The sequence below is a fragment of the Homo sapiens genome, chromosome 6 (genome assembly GCF_000001405.40).
Source record: "Homo sapiens chromosome 6, GRCh38.p14 Primary Assembly".
NCBI lineage: Eukaryota > Metazoa > Chordata > Mammalia > Primates > Hominidae > Homo > Homo sapiens.
Genome location: NC_000006.12, coordinates 111509144 through 111524973, shown reverse-complemented (window position 1 = coordinate 111524973; position 15830 = coordinate 111509144). Strand labels below are relative to the sequence as shown.

The 15830-nt window shown below is 39.4% G+C and overlaps 1 non-coding gene across 3 annotated transcripts in view, besides 1 other annotated feature; it reads right to left on the bottom strand.

Annotated features, from left to right (window-relative positions):
- Positions 1-15830, bottom strand: part of TRAF3IP2-AS1 (TRAF3IP2 antisense RNA 1) — a 118824-nt gene that overhangs the window by 77322 nt on the left and 25672 nt on the right. The window lies entirely within an intron of this gene.
- Positions 520-689: an enhancer, noted in NCBI's record as "experimental_87727 CRE fragment used in MPRA reporter constructs". NCBI's record gives its function as "activates a minimal promoter by MPRAs in K562 erythroleukemia cells, with activity observed for the non-introgressed 6:111845573 variant allele {active_cell/tissue: K562}" and the evidence as "EXISTENCE:reporter gene assay evidence [ECO:0000049][PMID:34662402]".

The following is a 15830-nucleotide window of genomic DNA, read 5'->3' as shown; positions in this document are numbered from 1 at the left end:
CTAAGCTGGTTGCTGTGAACTACTTTGCTCCAGCAAGTATACTGACAGGAGCATAGTGTGCAATTATATTTAGGTATTTGGGCTTGAAATGTGAAACCCCCTATGTTCAAAAACTCTTTAATCCATTGGAAATATTTTAAATGCCTAGTGTAAATCACAATGCAGTTCACTGACAGTTCCCTAGATTGTTATTGGCAACAGCATGAAAGAGCAAAAGATTGAAAATTGTTTTTTAAAATATTTGCATCTAAAAGAACATAGAGCATAGTTCGAGGCAAATAAACAAGTAGGAAGGCTTTTCTTCCTCCTCTTGCCCAAGTTCAGAGGCAGTAACACTCTGGAAAGGCTACCAAGTTATGACAAAGGGTCTGAAAATCCACGTATTCTCCAATAACAGATTGAAGGTTGCATAAAAAAAGGGCCCATGGAGGAATAGGAAAAGGAGAGAGAGCAGCTCGAAGCAGAGATGGGGAGGAGGTGGGGACACAAAGCACTGTCTGATACCATTCTCATCAACCAGATGTAGGAGGGAGCAAAGCTGGGATACTATCCCTGTTCTATTCTAACTCCAGCACTGAGTTACGATGCCCTCAAAGAAACAATTAAACCACTATATGGAAAATGACAATATTTCACCTGAATTTCTGTGATTTGAGATCCCTCAAAATGAGAGGGAGAGTTGGGAGCGTTTCTCAATAAAGCAGGCAGTTAAATTACATTATTTCCTAAGCCAAGACAATATCAAATTGAAAAAGAATCAGTAGAATTTCCAAACAAGGTGGCACAGTAAATTCATGTTTCAGCTTATCTTATATGCTCTAAACACATGGTAATGAGAGATAAAACAGAAAAAAAGAAAACTAAAAGGCCATTGTTGGGTTTAAAAAACAAAACTAACATCTTTGTGGACCAGAAACACAATAGAAATGCAAAGCAGTAAGCTGGGCTAGAGCTGTAGTCGATCAGGGTCTGGGTCTTGAGGCAGCTAGTGGCAACTGGAAACTCAGCTCTTGTGGAATACACAGACTAAAATGCTCTGCTAAAGATGAAGACCAATGCCAGCCATGTTACTGGAAGCCAGAAACTGGGGCATGACTGAGGTGATCAGCCTTCCTGGTTTTCCTAGGACTCTTCCTGTTTTAGCACTGATCATCCCAAATCCCAAGAAACCCTTTAGTTCCAGGCAAACAGTGGTTTGTCACCTGGTTTTCCCCAGTCTCATGAAAGGAGGCTAAATTAAACTGCTTCTGATTCTGCCTGGGGCTGTGCATTTATGGGAAGCTTTGGACCCAAGAGGGCAAAATGACAAAAGAAAAACATCACTACAGCAACTGAGCTGAGCTAACAGCTGGTTCAGTTACTGAATTGGCCATATTCCGGATATCAGTAAGGAGTAGGAGCCCTCTAAAGCCATTTTAAGAACTGGCTCTGGACTGGGATATGGAATGAGGAAAAGGGCAGATAGAAATATTCATCAAACTTGGAGACAGGCCAAGAAAGGGTGACAACAAAAATATCTCCCACTCAAAGTGATTATGCTAATCAAAATCCTAAAACTTATAAAGAAGTAAATGCTAAAAAGACAGAATCAGGCCGGGCACGGTGGCTCACGCCTGTAATCCCAGCACTTTGCGAGGCCAAGGCAGGCGGATCATGAGGCCAGGAGATTGAGACCATCCTGGACATCGTGGTGAAACACCATCTCTACTAAAAATACAAAAATTAGCTGGGCGTGGTGGCACATGCCTGTAGTCCCAGCTACTAGGGAGGCTGAGGCAGGAGAGTCGCTTGAACCTAGGAGGCGGAGGTTTCAGTGAGCCGAGATCTCGCCACTGCACTCCAGCCTGGTGACAGCCAGACTCTGTTTAAAAAACAAACAAACAAACAAACAAACAAAAGAATCAATGATGGAGTAACTAATATGGGACTAGCATCTGCTATAAAAAATAGTAAAAGTAGACAAAATATATAAAGTAACCGCTTTGAAAATCTGAACAACAGGTAGTACAGGAGGACTGTGATCCCTTGGGAAAGAAAAATGAACTGAGTTCCAGCCTTCTGCCTGGAGGCACTCTATCGACTGATATACAAAGAAGGAGAACCTAAGCAGAGTACAGTGGTTTTGCTGGGCTTAAGAGAGAGACAGGAACTTAGGAGGGCAACCACAATTTGAGAAAGAGAGCACCACAAGAGAAGAGAAAGCTGTCAAGAGACAGAGCTCCAGAAATCTGCATAAAAATCATCTTGAGTCTACGTGAATACTAAGATGTACATCCATAAAATGGGACTATGTAAGGCCAGGCAGAGAACAACTATTAGAACAACTCTCAGAGGAAGAACTACTGGGGCACTGAGACCTCAGCAACACTTTCACAGGGCTGACAAGCATTTGAGTTACAACCAGTGGAAATGCCTCTTGAACATGTGGGTGCTAAGCAACAATTCTCCACGGCATTTCTGTGTGTCTTGTGACAAATTTTGACCTAGACTATCTTTCAAAGGATGTTTGTCTAGCCAACACCTTTGGAAGGCATAGTGTCACCCTCCAGCACAGAGGACAGATTTGTTTCCTGACCAGAAAAATAAAGTGAATGGCTTCTTCCAGGACAAAGTGTGGCAGATTTACTAGCGGTTACCTTATAAGATTAGGGGTTTCCTAAGCTTGGGGCTCCTCAGATGTGACACAGACCAACTGTATGTGTAGCATTTACCTGGACCCACTCACATTGTCCTCATTGTCTTGGTTTGGAGAACAAGGAAAACCAAGAGAACATAAAGCCCATGCTATTTGCTGTACTGTGAATAATAAGGTTGTCTGTTTCTGACCTAGGAGTCTCATGTCTTCTGCCAGCATCTGTTAAACTGTGGCAAGCTCATTTACTGGCTTCAAAGTAGGGTAAAATCTCAGACCCTGAATAGTCTCTGACTCGACAGAGGAGTATTTAATAACAAAAGTATGGCTAAAGTAGCCCTAAAGAATTCTTTAGAACAGCAATTGGTGGCTCCAGCCCACAGGCCAAATCCAACCCACAGCCTGGTTTTGTATGGGTCACAAGCAAAAGATGTTTTTTACATTTTTAAGGTGTTGTACACACAAATACGCAAAAGAAACTGTAGAAGCTAAAATACTATCTGGCTCGTTAAATAAAAACGTTGTCATCTTCTGCTTTAAAACCATCTTAAGAAAGCATAAAACAAGCTTCAAAGGATCAAGTTGACCTTCAACTATCTGCTGGAACTGAATGTTCTTGGAAACAAGATAAAATACAGACACACAACTACATGGTAATCACAATGTCCAACACCAGTAAAAAATTATTAGACATAAAAAGTAGCAAGGAAACATACCCCATAACTAGGATAACATTAGTCAGTAAAAACAGACTCAGAATTGACAAAGATGACGGAATAGGAAAAGCCTTAGAATAGCTAGTATAAATATGTTCAAGATATAATGGAAAACATGAAAAGACAATGGTCTTTCTTGATGAATGTTTCATGTGCACTGGGAAAAAAAATGTGTATCTGGCAGTTGTCAGAGTGTTAGTTGCCACTGAGCAAGTTTCAAAAAATTTAAAAGAATTGGCATTATAAAAACATGGGTTCTGAGTATAAAATAAAATTAAAATTAAATTAGAAATCAATAGAAAATATATCTGCAAAATTCCCAAATATTTGGAAATTAAGCAACTTAAAATAACTAAAGAAATTGCAATGAAAATTATAGAAAAATATTTTGAATTGAATGATAATGAAAAGACAACATATCAAAATGTGTGTAATGCAGTTAAAACAGCACTTAGAGGGAAATTTATAGCAGATCATCTCTGAATAGGGACCATAAGAAGAATAACTATAAATATCTGAATGTCTACATTGAACTAAAGTAATTTTTAACAGCAATGTATTGAAAGTATAAAAGTTCAAAAAGTATTAAAATACATACTTTTCTCATGGTATACTTCTTTTAAAGTACAGTTGACCCTTGAACAATGCGGGCGGCGGGGGGGGGGGGTCCCCACACCATGCAGCTGAAAATCTGCATATAACTTTTGATTCTCCTGAAACTTAACTACTAATAGTCTACCATTGACCTGAAGCTTTACCCATAACATAAACAGTCCATTAATACATATTTTGTATTTTGCAAAAAGTGTAAAGTTTTCATGCCCACTGGCATAGCTGCAGCAATGCCTTCCCAAGTTCCCTTTTCTTTTATTTAAGAGACAGGATCTTGCTGTTGCCCAGGCTGGAGTGCAGTGGTGCAATCACAGTTCACTGCAGCACAGCCTCCTGAACTACAAGTACTACAAGCACACCTCCATGCTTGGCTTTTTTTTTTTTTTTTTTAACATGAGACTTATTTTATTTTATTTTCCATAGAGACAGGAGTCTTGCTATGTTGCTCAGGCTGGTCTTGAACTCCTGGACTCAAGTGATCCTCCCACCTCAGCCTTCCAAAGCATGGGATTACAGTCATGAGCCACTGTGTCTTTTTACAGTGGTCTTTAGGCTGAATTCATTCATCTAGAAATGGCAGGCAATTGCAGCTGCAGACCTCAATCTATGGTGCATATCAAGGAATTCAACCTTTTCTGGTAATGTCTTGACTTTTCTCTGCTTATTGGGAGCATTTCTAGCATCACTGGTGGCACTTCATATGGGCCCCATGGTCCCATACATCCAAGGTTTATAGCATTGAACTAAACAAGATAAAAAAAAAATACTCGAGAACCCCTAGAGATCACTTTTTACTGAGATATGCAATTTACTGGAGGCGAACTGTTCACTCAGAGATGATTGATTAGCATCACATAGAATTTTAAATGGATACTCCCAACACTTAAGCTCACTGCAACAGCAACAGGAGGTTGCTACAAAACTATTACACTAGTACAGTTAATTTTACGCAGTTATGACTTAATACTGTTTATTTCCATTTCCTTCCACTAGGAATCTTCCATAGTATGGTCTGGGTGTAAGGTTTGATAAATTTTAAATTTTATAGTGGACTTGTATATATTTTATGTTAGTAAATTATAAAATAGACTAGTATGTACATATATTTTATGCATTCATAACACACCTTTTTCTTAATTTCTTCAATATTTCTAGGTTACACATTTACCTGCAAGTTTTTTCAAATTGTCAAAAATCTCCAAAGAAATTTCCGAAGTATTTATTGAAAAAAAAAATCTGTGGGCTGGGCATCATGGTGCATGTGTGTAAATCCCAGCACTTGGGGAGGACAAGGCAGGAGGATCGCTTGAGGCCAAGAGTTTGAGACCAGTTTGGGCAACATAGCAAGACACTATCTCTACAAAATAAAAAAGAAAAAATTAGCTGGGCATGGTGGCGTGAACCTGTAGTCCCAGCTACTCAGGAGGCTGAGGCAGGAGGATCCCTTGAGCCCAGGAGATCGAGGCTGCAGTGAGCTATGATGGCACCACTGTACTCCAGCCTGTGTAACAAGAGGGAGACCTTGTCTCTTAAAAAAAAAAAAAATTTTGCGTGTAAGTGGACCCACATAGTTAAACGTGTTGTTCAAGGGTCAACTGCATATAAGAGGGAGAGTCCCACAATTTCTAGAAAGACGAATGCCTATAGTGACTCACCTGAAGCTAAAACCGTATTTAAATTATGTTTATAAAGCAGAATTGAGTCCGGTGTGGTGGCTCATGCCTGTAATCCCAGCAGTTTGGAAGGCAGATCACTTGAGGCTAGGAGTTCAAGACCAACCTGGACAACATGGGAAAAACCTGTCTCTACCAAAAGTACAAAAATTAGCTGGGAGTGATGGTGCATGCCTATAGTCCCAGCCACCTGGGGGGCTGAGACAGGAGAATCGTCTGAACCTGGGAGGTGGAGGTTGCAGTGAGCCGAGATCACACCACTGCACTCCAGCCTGGGCAACAGAGTGAGACCCTATCTTCAAAATAAAACAAACAAACAAACAAACAAAAACAGAATTGGTGAAACAGATTTAAAAAAATTCAGTCTGCATGACTGATACTCCTAAGTCATTTTCCAATTATACTCTATTATAGATTCATTCTTTCAACAAATATTGGTAAGTACCTACTATGTTCTAGGAATACACCAGTAATATGGGAGGGGAGTAAAAAGGAAAAAAAAATCCCAACCACTCAAGCACCTTACCTGGGGTAGGGTTGAGGGGGGTGACAGACTATAGACAACAATTAACAAGTAAAAATATATGGTATTTCACAACATGGAGACAAGTGTAACTGAGAAAAATAGAGTAGGGGAGGTGGGGGCAGTTATACTTCTAATGAGTGGGCAGGAAAGGCCTCACTGATGATATGAAAGATGAAAGGTCAAAAAAGGGAAAGGGAACAAGCTAGATGAAAATCTAGGGCAAGCAGTGGGGGTTCTAGGAAACTAGAAAATCTGGGGCTAGATGGAAGTTCTAGCCAGGGTGTTCTAGGAAAAATAAAATCAGTGTGGCTGGTGCAGAAAGAGCTGAGGGAGAGGAGTAAGATATTAGGTTAGAGAAGTAAGAAGAGGTAGAGGGCAGGGAAGACCAAGTAGGGTTGGATTTTTTTTTTTTTCTTTAGAGATTTTAACTTTTATACTTAGTGAATGAGAAGCCTCTGGAGGGTTCTGAGCAAGAGTGGATTTTAATGGAATCATTCTGGCTATTGCGATGAAAATAAAGTGAAAGGGAGCAGGGGCTAAAAGGAGACCAGGTAGGAGGCTACTGCAAGAATCCGGGAGCGGGCTGATTGTTGCTTCCACCAAGCTGGTTGTGGGAATGACCCAATAGAGAGGGTGGGAGTGATGCTGCAGGGGAGAGGAGAAAGTTGCTGAATCACTCTTTGAGTAGGGGAAGGAATGGGATCTAGTGCACAAGTTGCAAGGATACAGCTCGGAACATTTCATTCATAAGAACAGATGGAAGACAGAGAATACAAGGCACAGTTACAAGTAGGTGACTCTATATGGTGGTGGGGGGAGGTGGTCTGTGGAAGTCCTCTGATTACTTCTATTTCTCAGGGAAATAGTAAGTAACACTGCAAAGGAAGATAGGAGAAAAAGTACTTGTGGCTTGAGGATGAGAAGGTATGAAGCGGTGGATGAGGAGAGCAGGAGAATAAGTAGATTAGGTTTGATATAGTTGGTATTTTTAACCTAGGCACTTTTGAAACAATTTTCTAACATTTTGTTCCTAAATTTAGGTACACAAAGAAAGCATCATTTTGATGCAAGTAATTATCAATCTCTGTCCATCTTTATTATGCATATGCTACTCCAGAGAGATAGCAAATCCTGCCCTCTAGTAAAGATAGATGTGTCTCAGAAATGTGTAGCTAAATGTGAATGGAATATTGGCAGGTTTGTAGCTTTCTTGCACATTTGCAGAGCTGCAAACAAGTTCTGTTTTGAATTCCTTCCTCATTACAAGACTACCTTCACAAGAGAATCAGTGCATTATAAATTTAAATGCACTTATGTCTATTTCCCATTTACCTTAAGATTATAGCTGAAGAGAAAACTTTAAGGAGTAAATTAATGTCATAGAGGAAAAAGTGCTTATTGTCAGAGGCTGGAATATTAGAAATGTTTTCAAAAATCCCATGAAGCATTCTAATGACCACCTCATATAGAAAGCTTAGAAAAGATTTTTTTTTCCATAGTCTGCAGGTATCATCTAATAAAATCATCTCCAATAAATAAGGGTATAAGTTATATCATAAATGTGCTATACATGAAAATTACTAATCTATAAAACTCTGATGAAGTGACAGGGAGACTAATTATCATTTTATGTTTTTTCTATTGATATAACTCAGGAAAATAGAAAAACAATCTTGGTGTTTTACGGGACATGAATAATGTGTTGATTTTCCTAAATTGTCTTATTCTCCTAAAACTTTGTATTTGAGAAACAGGAATTTGAGAAACAAAATTACACTGGACTCCTTAGGGGTGTGTGTGTGTGTGTGTGTGTGTATTTTCCCCCCCTGGAAAAAGACTTGTATATATTTTTCCAGAATCCAAACCTTTTGCATATATCTCATCATACCAAATCCCCTTGTTATGGAATCTTTAGGCAGGTGTTCAAAGGCAGGAATCTCCTGCACCTCCCAACATGCTGATTCAAAGGACAGGTATCTTTACAACTGACACATTTTTAACAATAAAGTAATGATTTTTTTCTGTGTGTGTGTGTGTGTGTGTGTGTGTGTTATGGTAGATTATTATTTAAGAAAATTAGGCCACTTCCCATAAGTAACTACTGTTCATGTATGGGAACGAGATGTCAAAAAATAATCCTTGGGAATATTCAAAACCAACCAAAGACTCAATACCCTCTTTTTTTTTTGGTATGAATGAAGCAAAATTAACCAAACTAAGTCACTGGTTCCTAGAAAACATTTAAAAGTTTAAAAATGCTGTTCTGATTCCTCTTAAGAACAGAGGAAAATGTTATAATTCTTAGGTAGAACCATTTATTCTGCTTAGTTCAAATTTTGGTTTTGAATGGCTGTAGGCAGTTTTCACTCTTGGACAAAGTCCATGATGCCATTCTCAGGTAGGTTTGACTGTTCTCAAATCTAGATAATTTTTTAAATATTGGCTGAGAGTGAATAATACAAATGTTCAAATTAGGGCCATTCCATGATCACGAGGGCCAGGAGTCTGTACATGTAATGAGCGAGGCTTGTGCTCTGAAGTAATTTCCCTACAAGTTAAGAATACATGCCAGGCCGGGCACAGTGGCTCATGCCTATAATCCCAGGACTCTGGGAGGCTGAGGCAGGCAGATCACTTGAGGCCAGGAGTTTGAGACCAACCTGGCCAACATGGCGAAAACCTGTCTCTACTAAAAATACAAAAATTAGCCAGGTGTGGTGGTGTGCCTGTAATCCCAGCTACTTGGGAAGCTGAGGCAGGAGAATCACTTGAACCCTGGAGGTGGATTGCAGTGAGCTGAGATGGCACCATTGTACTCCAGCCTGGGCAACAGCAAGACTGTCTCAGAAAAAAAAAAAAAAAGAAAAAGGAAAAGAAAAAAAGAATACATACCAAAGAAACCTGGATCCCTTTACTAATATATTATAAATGAATGAAATATTATGAGGGGGACCCAGATTTTAACTAAAAAAAAAAATAAATAAAAGGGCTATTCATATTTTCAGCCCATTCTACCTCAAAGTAATAAGAATTTTCATAATCACATTCTTTATTATTTATCCCAAATTTGTCTTTTCAATCTTTCACAGAAGGGAAATGTAACTCAAGAACAAATTTCTGTCATAAAGCCTCTGGTATAAGATATTCCTGATGAATAAGTCTTTTAAAATAATAGCTAAAATAAGCGTTTTGTTTTATTCATGCTTTTAATCATCTCAGCAATTCTTGTCCCTCATTTGCACATATAATTGAAGGTTGACTATGCTACTGCTACACTCCAAATTTCATTCTGGTACCATCTGTACCATCAACCCTGTTCAAACTTTCAAAGTGTCTCAGGTCTAAATTTCTTTGCCCTCTGATAATAGAGGACATATCTATTTTGTGTGGGAAAAGACACGGAACAGCATGTTCTACATTGATTTTTAAGTAAATAATTAATCCTAAAGCCTTATTTGTACCATTAATTTAAAACAGAAGCTATAAAGCCTGGGGAAACTTAAAGTTTCCTTGAGTGGAGCTTCTCTGATTCTTTTTTTTTTTTTTTTTTTTTGAGATGGAGTCTCGCTCTGTCGCCCAGGCTGGAGTGCAATGGCATGATCTCGGCTCACTGCAACCTCCACCTCACAGGTTCCAGCAATTCTCCTGCCTCAGCCTCCCTAGTAGCTGGGACTACAGGTGCCCGCCACCACGCCCAGCTAATTTTTTGTATTTTTAGTAGAGACGGGGTTTCACCTTGTTAGCCAAGATGGTCTCCATCTCCTGACCTCGTGATCCGCCTGCCTTGGCCTCCCAAAGTGCTGGAGCGTCTCTGATTCTTCCTAAAAAAAAATTTAGTCTGGCCAGGCATGGTGGCTCACGCCTGTAATCCAGCCAAGTTGGGGGGATCACTTGAGGTCAGGAATTTGAGACCAGCCCGGCCAACATGGAGAAACCCCATTTCTACTAAAAATACAAAAATTAGCCAGGTGTGGTGATGGGTGCCTATAATCCCAGCTACTTGGGAGGGTGGGGCAGGAGAATCGCTTCAATCCAGGAAGCGAAGGGTTGCAGTGAGCAGAGATCGTGTCACTGCACTCCAGCCTGGGCGACAAAGTGAGACTCTGTCTCAAAACAAAACAAAACAAAAATTTGAGCCCGTATTTGCCTCTGCCTCTGTGTTTGAGAGCACTCCTGTCAGCATGCCTAGTAAGTGCTGTTACAGTCTAATACAATCCTTCTTAGCTTCTCCAGGGTAGGCATCTCACCTTACTCACCTATCACAGACATACCTATTCAATACTTACCTAGAATGCCTTAAGTACCAAATATATCTTTGCCAGGTTGATAAATAATTCTGTAAGACAAGGGGTTTGAACTTGATGACATCAAAGTTCCTTTCCAGGTCAAAATTCTATTATTTCTATTTGTCTCAACTTCTACCTATAAATTTTGAGAATTCCTAGGTATGTTCATATTAATACACAGAAGTTGTCAATTTGGTCTTTAATGGGGTGCTAATCCTTTTCCTGCATTACGCTGTTGATTTAAGACCCAATGTGAAGCTAATACAAGTAAAATCCTATTAACAGTTATTCTAGACCAGTGCTGTCCAATAGCAATATGATACAAGCCAAAAATACAAACCACAAATAAAATTTAAAATTTTCTAGTAACTACATTAAATTACATTATTTAAATCTTTACATTATTAAAATTACATTATTAAATGTAGTTAAAATCTATTTTAACTACATTAAAATAGTAAAAAAAGGGTGAAATTAATTTTAATATCTATTTAACACAATGTGTCCAAAATAGTTTCAATATGTAATTAGTATAAAACAATGATTAAGATGTTATTCTTTTATAAAAATTGTCTTCAAAATCCAATGTGTATTTACACTTAACAGTATATCTCAATTTGGACTAGCCACATTTCAAGTGCTTAACAGCCTTACGTGGCTAGTTAGTGGCTGCTGTATTGAGAGCACAGTTTTAAAGCCTTGATATTCAGTGTGGTCCATGGACCAGTAGCACTGGAATCAAGAGGAAGCTTGTCAGAAATGCAAATCCTTGGAATCATAATATGCATTTCAACAAGCACTCCAGGTGATTTGTATGGACATCATGTTTGAGAAGCACTATTCTAGGAGTATTCAAATTCTTTTTCTCAAATTCTTTTTCAGTGAAACTTTGTCTTGAATATTTTTGTAACGTCTACATTTCTAATATGTACAAGCTTTTAATATGTGTATGCTTGCTGGGTCCCTCACCCCTGTATTTTAAGATAACCTTTTTTTTTTTTAGTTACAAAAGCATAACTTGTTCATACTATAGAAACATTAGAAAATACAAATAAGCAAAAATAAAATAGGCCAGATAGGGTGGCTCACGCCTGTAATCCCAGCACTTTGGGAGGCCGAGGCAGGTGGATCGCTTGCGCTCAGGAGTTCAAGACCAGCCTGGGCAAGATGGCAAAACCCATCTCTACAAAAAATACAAAAAATTAGCCAGGCATGGTGATATGGGCCTCTAGTCCCAACTACTCAGGAAGCTGATGTGGGAGGATAGCTTGAGCCTGGGAGGTCGAGGCTGCAGTGAGCTGAGATTGCACCACTGCACTCCAGCCTGGGCAACAGACACTGTCTCAGACCAAAAAAAAAAGAAAGAAAAAAATAAAATAAAAGACATTTATAGCTCCACCAGCCAGAGATAACTACTATTGACATTTTTGGTGTTTATCCTTCTATTCTCTAAAATGTTGTTTACTTCTTAATTATACAATACAGAAATATATTATAAATAATTCAAACAGCAACCCATAAACTAAGGTCTCAAATCACTTCACCAAATTTAGTCCCTTCTTAGAGGTAATTGCCATTATAAGTTTGAAGTATATTCTTTCACATCTTGTTCTAGGCATTTAAATAAATTTATATAACCCAGAGATACACATGAACTTACACACATGTATATGGATGACATTTGTTTTGTTTTTAGAAAAACATTTAACTTGACTTTTCTATTACATATGTATCAGGTACATTTATTCAACATCATTTTTTAAAAACGTTAGTATACTTTTTAAAAAAGTATATTGAGTATACACAGTATATTGTATATTGAGTATGTACAGTAAAATTAACCTTTTTTAGCATTCAGTCCCATGAGTTTTGATGAATGCATACAATAATGCAACCATCACGATCAAGATATAGAACAGGTCCATCACCCTCAAACTGTCTTTGTGCCTGATTGTAGTTTAGAGGCACTTGCTCCTTCTCCAGCAATCACTGAACTATTTTCAATCCCTACAGTTTTGCCTTTTTTGGTTTTTTTTGGAGACAGAGTCTCACTCTGTCGGCCAGGCTGGAGTGCAGTGGCACGATCTCGGCTCACTGCAACCTCCATCTCCCAGGCTCAAGCAATTCTCCTGCCTCAGTCTCCAGAATAGCTGGGATTACAGGGGTGTGCCACCATGCCCAGCTAATTTTTGTATTTTTAGTAGAGATGGGGTTTCACCATGTTGGCCAGGCTGGTCTCAAACTCCTGACCTTAGGTGATCTGCCCACCTTGGCCCCCTACAAAGTGCTAGGATTACAGGCGTGAGCCACTGGGCCCAGCCCAGTTTTGCCTTTTCTACAATGCTACATAAATGGAATCATACATTTGCTTTTTGAGCCTGGCTTCTTTCACTCAGCCTAATGCTGCTGCAATTCATCCATGTTTTCTGCATATATTTGTAATTTGGTCCTTTTTATTGCTCAGTAGTATTCTATTCTATGGATGTACATTATATGAATGTTCGTTGATCTGTTTACCAGTTGATAGACAATAGGGTTGTTTCCAGTTTTTGGTAGTTATGAATAAAGTTGATATAAACATTGAATTTCAGGTTTTTGAGTACATACATATGAGTGAGACTGCTAATAGAAGACATCTTTTTTAATGGCTGCATTTTACTTCAGGACTGAAATGTATATGTACATTTATTCATTCAATCAACAAATATTAAATACTTACACTATAGTAGATAATGAGAGTACAGTGAACATACTGTTGGTCAGTGTTAGTCCTAATCCTCATGGAATTTGCTTTTAGGCAAACTCCTATAAATAGGCATATAAATTACTTCCAATTCCCCCATCATACACAATTAATTTTTTTTACCTCAATTCTATCATTACCAATCATCTGCCATTTTTCCCAATATTTTCCTAGGAGTTTTCAAGGAAACAAATGAGGTCCTAGGCAGTAGTCTTGGTTGAGAGAGCTGCATATCTCTAAGAATGGCACTATATTGGAGATGGGGCGGTCGACTAGTCCCAGGAAGCTGTTGCAATTTGATGTAGGGAACCTGCGATCATCATTCATAGTCCTAGGACAGTTGTTTTCAAAATTTAGTATACATCAGAATCTTGTTGAAACACAGATTTCTGGGCTCCACTTCTCATTCTGCAGGTCTGGGATGGGGTCCAAGAGTCTGTGTGTGTGTATATATATAATTTGAGATGGAGTCTCGCTCTGTTGCCCAGGCTGGAGTGCAGTGGCGTGATCTTGACTCACTGCAAACTCCGCCTCCTGGGTTCACGCCATTCTCCCGCCTCAGCCTCCCAAGTAGCTGGGACTACAGGCGCCTGCCACCATGCCCTGCTAATTTTTTGTATTTTTAGTAGAGACGGGTTTTCACCGTGTTAGCCAGGATGATCTCGATCTCCTGACCTCGTGATCCGCCTGCCTCAGCCTCCCAAAGTGCTGGGATTACAGGTGTGAGCCACCATGCCCGGCCAAGAGTCTGTATTTTCAACAAGTTCCCAGGTGAGGCTAATGCTGCTTGTCCCAGGAACATACTTTGAGAACTGTTCTAAGTTATTTCTGGCAGTTTCTGAGCCTGATAATCTTAAACTTGGATGCTCTTTCATCTCCTGTCAGGAATTCGGAGATCTAGAAGTATTAACAGCTATCTTTGAAGTTACTGACGTAGAAAAAAACTCCTGTGGGCCAGGGACTCCTCTGCAGGATCACCTGACAATTGTAGTTCTTCAAGACTTTATTTTCATTTCTCTTATCATCTTCAGGTAGGTTCTTCCCTGAGTTACACGAGTTGGCAGGGTGGCATGTTATCTGGCACCTCTCAGCACCACAAACAGCACAGAAGGGCTTCCTGCTTTGAAGGATTCTACTAGAGCAGGGTCTTAATATCAAACTTAAGAGTTACATCCTCTAGGTTAGAGGTGGCTAGGTTTCCTAGGTGGGAAGCCTTGTGAAAGTTCTGGGGTATTCACCTGAGACTTCAGAAGGGCTAGGGGGAATATGCTTACCCTGGATTTAGGGGTAGGGGGAGTCTTGGGCACATGAGCTGGCTGCAGGGGCCAGGTCCCACAGGCAGAGGAGCCACAGTTGCTTGTCATTGTTGGTGAGTATAAAGCTAACTGCAGTAAAAGGCTTTTTGGTTTCCTTCCCTTAGCTAGTTTGATGGGCAGGTTTAGTGAAGGGATCCCTGGTTTCATTCCCCTCATAAGAGGTTTCAAATCAGTTTTACCATTCACTAGCTCCACCACCAACTAATTAGTTCTTGGGAAATTTCCTCATCTGTAAAATGAGGACAATCCCCCTACCTCTCAGGGTTATTGTGAAGAATAATGAATAAATGAATAATAAATGAATATAGTAACATATGTAAAGTAGTTAGTGTGGTACCTGACACACAGTAGGCCCTTCTTTATCTAACGGGAACATGGATCCCACGTGGGGAAGCTGCAGTACGCCATTCTGTGGGAACTCCAGTTGCCTCATCACAAAGTATGCCTAATTCTCCCATATAAGGGTACTGACATTACTGTCTTTGAAAAATGAGACTAACTAGCTTTGGGGGCCTGCTGTTAAGTCACTCACAAGAACATGCATTTTCTGGAGGACATGTAAGATTGGAGCCTATATTAGCTGACAGGATAAGAGCCACACCACATTAGCACTTGAAGACTTGCAGGATCTAGGACAACTATTCACAATATGGAACTTTCGTTTTTGAGCTAGAAGGAACAGGGCTGATTTATTTCAATCACTCATTCTACAGATTATCCTGGGAGGTTAAGTAACCTGCTCGGTGTCAGAGAACATTGTAATATTTAGGGTTCCTCTGAGCAGGTCTTGTTTTCAGCCACTCCATTCTTTCTGAATTTTGCCCCTTTTGTCAGTAAAGCACTTCCTCTATTACCTTTTTATTTTATATATACATACACAAAATGAGGAGAAATTCATTAGCACCATTTTGTGGCTCCATAATCTTGCTTAGAAAAGGATTTTGGAAGAGTACAAATGTAAGGTAAGTTGGAAGAGAATGTAGGTTGGTGAGACAGAAGCACTGGCACTCCTCTCTGCTCCCATCTGTCATTCCCAGATACTCTAAAAGGTTATACTACTTATAGGTTTACTATAAGCATTATTCCAACAACCTGATTTTAGCTAGTTGGCAGTTTAGTACCTATGCTTATATTCCAATTTTATGTTTTAACATTCAGGAATCTTTTCTTGATGCCTTAGACATGTCTTAGCCAGTGAAAATAATTTTTCCCCATATCAGTAACTTAAGACAATCAGCCCTCTTTTTAAAAAGTCTATGAAACATAAGCTTTAGGTATATCACAGAGTATTTGTTTTATAAAGGGAGGTTTCCTTTCTGTTCTTTT